Here is a 7,049-nt window from a genome sequence, read left to right as displayed (position 1 = left end):
CATTCTAAATGGGTCTATGCCTTGGTCTTGTAATTCATTAAAAACAAAATTATCTAGCAATACTATGTACTGGGCACTGTGCTACGTGCTTTCCCTGACTTATTAATCTACATATGACCCCGTGATGGAGGTGATACTACTGTCTTCATGTTATGGATGAAAAACTGTGATTTGCAGTAGTGAAATCAGTTGCCCAGAGTCACCATCTTGCAAGTGGCCAGAATTGGAATTCAGTCCTTGCTTTATGATCCCAGAACTCAGCACTAAACCAAGCTTCACCAGACTGCTTCAGAGCAGTCATAGAGAAGAGAGGTTCAGAGTGCAGGCTTGGGGGTTTGAGTCATACATAACTCTTCCTCTTACTGGCTCTGTAGCCTTGTCTAAGTCACTTCATAACTTTATATCTCAGTTTTCTTATCTGTTCAACGGAGAAAATAATATTATCTGTCTCATAGGGCTGTTGTGAGAATTGAATAGTTTAAAATAATGCCTGGCTCAGGGTAAGCAGTCCATGAGGGTTATTATTGCTATTACTGTGCTATTTTTTCATTTGCATTTCTATTCATTAATCCATTCACCATCTGTGCACTCACTATCCATCCATCCCTTCATCCATCCATCCATCCATACGTCCATCCATCCATCCATCCATCCAGAAGAAGCACTGCCTGTCTTGGACCTTGGTTTCTCCATCTATAGTGAAGGTTAAAGCCCAGTAGGAATTCTTAATCCTTTCTGTGTCATGGACACTTTTGAAGGCTGGTAATATAAAATACATGGAATAACAAAGTTAACTAACGATACCAAAATACAGTTGTCAAAATAAAAAAACAAATTTGTGATATAGCAGTAACAATGCTTATTTATTAATGCATTAAGCGAGATCTAGAGGTGGCCCTGATCATTACTACAATTTTGAGGTAGTATTAATGAACAATGTTTTGAGAATTCTGGAATGCCTGTACTGAGCTATAAAAATGCCTGTCATGTCTCTTGGTGACAAAGTCTTAGGTTCTCCAAATTCTACTGTAGTTTGTTGCTTAGGTTCATGATAGAAATAAATGCTAAACTTCAGTTATAGATTAGTGAACCTTTTCCCCCTGACCTATCCAAGTTCATAGATGGATGAATTCTTAACATGTTCCCCAGATAAAAAACTGCATTGGAGAATGCTTGGGGTCCTTTCCAGCTCTGTGATTCTGTGAGACTCTGAGTCTGATCCTGGAAGGTGCTGGGGGTGAGGAGAGGGACCCTGTGCTCTGAGGATATTGACCCCAGGACAGGCCTACCTAAGGGCCTTTCAAGCCTCAGCCTTGCTTTCCTGGATGGCTCTGTTCTAGACGTTTCAGAGAAACTGGCTGGCTGCTCCCCGCGGGAGCCTTTGCCCTCACTGATCCACGGCTGCTGCGGCAGATTTATTGACCCAGCCCTTTGTTTTCGGGAAACAGCTGCCTTTCTCTTGTTAACCCCAGCCAGCCTGGCTCCAAACAGGATGCCTTCTGTGCTTTGGGCTCAGCGCTAGGGGAAGATGGACATCAGGAGAAGAGTAGCATTCTATGGATAAAGGGCATGCTCCAAAGGCCAGGAGCTATGCTGGGCCCTTTCATCTGGCTCCTTTATCAGCTGGCAGCAAAGCAGTGAGGCTTCTAACCAGGTCTGTCCGAAAGTCAAAGGCTGCGCCCTCCCTAGGGCTCTAGAAGCCTCCAGCCCTGCTTCACCACACAAGTGAGTTTAGGGATTTTTCCACCTCAGGATGCACATATACATCCTTCCCCCGGACCCTCTCCAACACACACACACACACACACAAACACTTCCTCTGATTCACAGACAGCTCAGGGCTGATTTCACCCAGCGTGGGAAGGAGCTATTGATTCAAGCTTTGGGGTGCTGGATAGCTGAGAAGGGACCTCCCCTCCCCTTGAGTTTGTTATGTTCAGTCCCTGGCATCCTACATTGTTATCATGAGTAATCCATGTCTCCAGGTTAAACATTGCCCTCCCCCAGTCTTAGTTTTATAATACAGTTGCTTCTTGACTTATGATGTGGGGTTAGTGCCCAATAAATCCATTGTAAGTTGAAAATGCATTTACTACACCTAACTTACTGAACATCATAGCTTAGCCTAGCCTACTTTAAACATGCTCAGACACTGGCATTAGCCTACAGTTGGGCAAAATCATCTGGCAACACAGTATACTGTCGAGTACCAGTTGTTTGCTCTCGTGATAGTGTGGCTCAGTGGGAGCTGCAGCTCATTCCTGCTGCCCAGCATCACAGGAGAGCATATTTCCACTTATTGCTAGCCTGGGCAAAGATCAAAATTCAAAATTTGAAGAATGGTTTCTAATGAATGTGTATTGCTTTTACACCATCTTAAAGTCAGAAAATTGTACGCTGAACCACTGTAAGTTGGGGACCATCTGGACCACCTCTATACAATTTCTAAGACAGTGCTAATTCTTTTGACCTTAAAGCCTTTTTGGCATTTGTGCAGGGTGCAAGGTGGATACAGTGAAGGGGAAGTGTGGGTTCTGAGGGGCAGAGACCCTGCCAGGGCATGCTGAAGCACTCAGCAAATTCTCCAGTTCAGTTCAATCCAGCAGACATTTTATCACACCATTTGTTATTCAGGCTGGGGATGCGGAGATGAGTAAGGAATAGCCTGTGTCTCCAGGGTCAAGGTCTGTCAAGAAGATAAACTAAAATATGGTGTCATAGGGATGATAATGGTTACAAGTGTACAATGCAAGACCATGTAGCACGGTTCACTGACTCAGGGCTTGAAGAGACATGTCATGGAGCAATTGGCGGGGAAGGACTGGAAGGTGGTGTTTTTCAGAGGGTCAAGGGAGGAGGGAGGGAAAGGCACCCCAGGCAGGTGTAAAAATGTGTGACACTTAGGAAGTGGGAGTTATATAGTTTGCTAGGGCTGCTGTAACAAAATACGACAGACACAAACAACAGAAATTTATTTTCTTATGGTTCTGGAGGCTGGACGTCCAAGAGCAAGGTATCAGCAGGTCTGGTTTCCTCTGAGGTCTCTTTCCTTGGCTTGCAGATGGCTGACTTCTTGCCCTGCCTCCTCTGAACATCCCTGGTGTGTCCGTGTGTCCAAATTTCCTCTTCTTATAAGGACACCAGTCAGACTGGATTAGGGACCATTCTAAGGGACTCATTTTAACTTAACCTCTTTAATGACCCAGTCTCCAAATATAGTCACATTCTGAGGCACTGGGGGGTCAGGACTTCAACATATGAATTTTGGGGGAACACCATTCAGTCCATAATAGAAGCTGACTGCAAAAGACAGGGGGTGGTAGGGGGATGGGCAAAGCCAGATCAGGAAAAGGCTTGATTGTTGGGGCTTCACATTTTAGGACTTAAGATGCTGGCTTCTGGTTTGAGCCTTGGGAGTTTCATTGGAAAGCAAAAGCATCTCAGCTTCCCACCCCGTTTCTGGTAATTCTGGGAGGGGTGAAATCTCTCAGGCCCACAGCCCCCAGGGTCTGTGATCAGAGCCATGCCCCAAGGAGTGGCTAGCATTATCCCTCTGCCTAGGCCCTGTGGAAAATCCCCACCCAGCTAGGTGGGTCCCGGAATCTTATCAAGTGAGAAACCTTCCTGCCTTCCAGAAACTCCCATTTGGATAGACATGGATGCACAGAGCCCATGCTAAGCAGTCTTACAGGCAATGGAGGGCTCTGCCTCACTGAGAGGAAGAGAAAGACCCTAAGACTGTAGTTCTGCCTTGGCCGTCAGAGGAGTCCGGGCCTTACCTGCCTCCCTGGCTGCACATTCCAGTCCCTCCACCACTCCCCTTCCTGCTTTCCTCCTCCATAAAATAAGGGTATGAAATGAAACCATGATAGTCCTGGCACCTTCCAGCACTTTTGGATTCTAAAACGGAGAAGGAAGTCTGGGCAGAAGGGCAGAGGAGGGGCTGGAAACACCTCCCCTAAAATGCTGCATCCACAAGCCATTGACTAGCCAGAGCGGGGAGGCCTGGGAGTCTGCTTTTCTAGGGCATGTAAATCTGGCTAGGGGAAGGGATGGAGAGTGAGGTGCTCTGACTGGATAGGATAATTCTTTTGTTCCCCCTCTCCTCTCCTCTTGAGGATAATTCCTTTACAAAATTTTTATTGAAGTAGAAAATCCATAGTGTCACCAGTGCATGACTTTTAAGTGTAGGAGTTGATTAATTTTTTACATATGAATACACTTGTGTAACAAATGTGTTAATATAAAGAACATGCCAGAAGCCTAGAAAGCTCCCTCCCTTGTGCCCCTTTGCACCCCACCTGCAGGTAACTGCTATTCTGAACTTAGTTTTGTCTTTCCTTGAATGCTGCATAAATGGAATCACACAGTTAGCACTCTTTTGCACCTGTCTTCTTTTGCTTATCATTATGCCTGGGAGATTCTGCCATTGGATTCTGCAGGAAATAGGTCCCCGGATAGGGGAAGATCCTCTGCAGTCTCTTTTGCGTATGCCCTTGAGCTTGGCTCCTTCCTGGAAGGCAGGGTGTGAAGGCTTTAAAACATGGCCTCCAAATTCCTTAATTCCTTGACATTCCTCTGCCTTAGTAGCTGGAATACTGGTGCTTGGAGCACTGGGCCACTAAGTAGGAAGTCTCAGTACTCTAAGGCCATCATGCATTGAAGAAGCCAAGCTGCAGGGAGAGACCACATGTAGGTGCTCTGTTGTTAATCCCAGCCTTTGAGTCTCCCATCATATGAGCAAAATGGCCCCAGATAACTACAACCCTAGCCATCAAATCATTCCTTGCCTTCGGGTCTTTCTGGTTGAGGCCCCAGATTATGGAACAGATACAAGTCATCCCTCTGGTCATCTTCTTCACCCCATGCCCTGCCCAAGTTCCTGACCCACAGAATAAAGGTGCATAATAAAAATGGTTATTTTAAGATGCTAAATTGTGGGGTAATTTGTTATGTCACAGTAGTAACTGGAACACAGGGTGAGAAGTGGCTGGACTTGGGAAGGGTAAGTTTAGCCTTCTCACTGGGTGGCTGTTCCACAGTAAGTCTACTGGCTGATGTACAGCCCTGCCTTGGCCTCATCCTCTGGTCCTGTCTTCAGAGCTTCTCTTATTCACTTTAGGCCAGTTGTAAATTGTCTGCCCCATTTCCCTCTAAAGCAAAAGGCATCTTCTAGTAAGGGTGTGATTTTTCCTGTAGACTGTTGCCTTTCCATCAGAGTCTCCTGAAGAGGTGGGCACATGGAATATTTGGGCAGGACAGATAGTTTCTGGCATGTGCAAGTAAATTTCTTAACACAGTCCCAAGCACACAGTCCTCAAGAGATGTGCCTACCAAAGGCATTATCCTTCCCTTCCATATAGTCTGTTCCTTCATCACTAAAAAGAAATACCTGAAGCTAGGTAATTTATGAAGAAAAGAGGTTTAATTGGCTCATGGTTCTGTAGGCTGCAGAGGAAGTATGGCACTGGCATCTGCTCCTGGTGAGGGCCTCAGGAAGCTTACAATCATGGAGGAAAGCAAAGGGGGAGCAGGTGCATCACAGAGCAAAAGCAAGAGCAAGAACGAGAGAAGAGGGAAGTCGTAGACTCTTTTAAACAATAAACAATCAGATCTGGCAGGGCATGGTGGCTCACCCCTGTAATCCCAGCACTTTGGGAGGCCGAGGTGCGTGGATCATGAGGTCAGGAGTTCAAGACCAGCCTGGCCAAGATGGTGAAATCCTGTCTGTACTAAAAATACAAAAATTAGCTGGGTGTGATGGTGGGCACCTGTAATCCCAGCTACTCGGGAGGCTGAGGCAGAGAATTGCTTGAATCTGGTAGGCGGAGGTTGCAGTGAGCTGAGATTGCACCATTGCACTCCAGTCTGGGTGACAGAGCAAGACTCTGTCTCAAAAAAAAAAAAAAAAAAAATCAGATCTCGCATGAACTGGTGGAGAGAGAACTCACTCATTACCAAGGGGATAATGCTGAGTCATTCATGAGGAATTCGCCCCCATAATCAAATTGCCTCCCACCAGGCACCATCTCCAACATTGGAGGTCACATTTCAACATGAGATTTGGAAGGGACAAACATCCAAACCATATCATTCCGCCCCTGGCCCTCTAAATCTCATGTTCTTCTCACATTGCAAGATACAATCATTCCTTCGCAACAGTCTTCCAAAGTGTTAACTCGTTCCAGCATCAAGTCCAAAGTTTTAAGTTTTATCTGAGACTCACTCCTTCTACCTATCAGCCTGTAAAATCAAAAGAAGTTATTTACTTTCAAGATACAATGGTGGTACCAGCATTGGGTAAATATTCTCATTCCAAAAGGGAAAAATCAGCCAGAAGAAAGGGGCAGTAGGCCCCATACAAATCTGAAACCCAGCAGATCAGTTATTAAATCTTAAAGCTCCAAAATAGTCTCCTTTGATACCATGTCCCACATCCAGAGCACACTTATGGAAGGGTGGGACTCTAAGGCCTTTGGAAAGTCTGCCCTTGTGGTTTTGCAGGGTACAACCCCCATGGCCACTCTCAGGGACTGGAGTTGAGTGCCTGAGGCTTTTCCAGGCTCAGGATGCAAGCTGCTGTTGGCTGTACCATTGTGGGGTCTGAAGAGTGGTGGCCCCTTTCTTACAGCTCCACTGGGTAGTGCTCTAGTGGGGACTTCGTGTGGAGGCTCCAACCCCGCACTTTCCCTTTGCACTGCCCTAGTAGAACATCTCTGTGGTGGGGTCCACCCCTGCAGGAGGCTTCTGCCTGGGCTCCTAAGCCTTTCCATGCATTCTCTGAAATATAGGTGGAGCTACCAAGCCTCCTTCACTCTTGCATTCTGCACACCTACAGGCTTAACATTATGTGGAAGCCACTAAGGCTTACAGCATGAGCCCTCTAGAGTGGCAGATTGAGCTGTACCTGGGCCCCTTTGAGCCAAGGCCGTAGCCAGAGTAGGCCTGAATCAGGAAACAGTGTCCTGAGGCTGTGCAGGGCAGCAGGTGCCCTGGGAGTGGCTCCTGAAACTGTTCTTTCCTCCTAGGTTTCTGGGCCTGTGATGGGA

At 46.5% G+C, this 7,049-nt stretch overlaps 1 annotated feature.

Annotated features, from left to right (window-relative positions):
* Positions 6,165–7,049: an enhancer, noted in NCBI's record as "NANOG-H3K27ac-H3K4me1 hESC enhancer chr11:57051243-57052127 (GRCh37/hg19 assembly coordinates)". NCBI's record gives its function as "activates a minimal SCP1, AML or CMV promoter by ChIP-STARR-seq in naive H9 embryonic stem cells {active_cell/tissue: H9 hESC(naive)}" and the evidence as "EXISTENCE:reporter gene assay evidence [ECO:0000049][PMID:30033119]".

The sequence above is a fragment of the Homo sapiens genome, chromosome 11 (assembly GCF_000001405.40).
Source record: "Homo sapiens chromosome 11, GRCh38.p14 Primary Assembly".
Classification (NCBI taxonomy): domain Eukaryota; kingdom Metazoa; phylum Chordata; class Mammalia; order Primates; family Hominidae; genus Homo; species Homo sapiens.
This window is presented reverse-complemented; position numbering and strand designations above follow the sequence as displayed.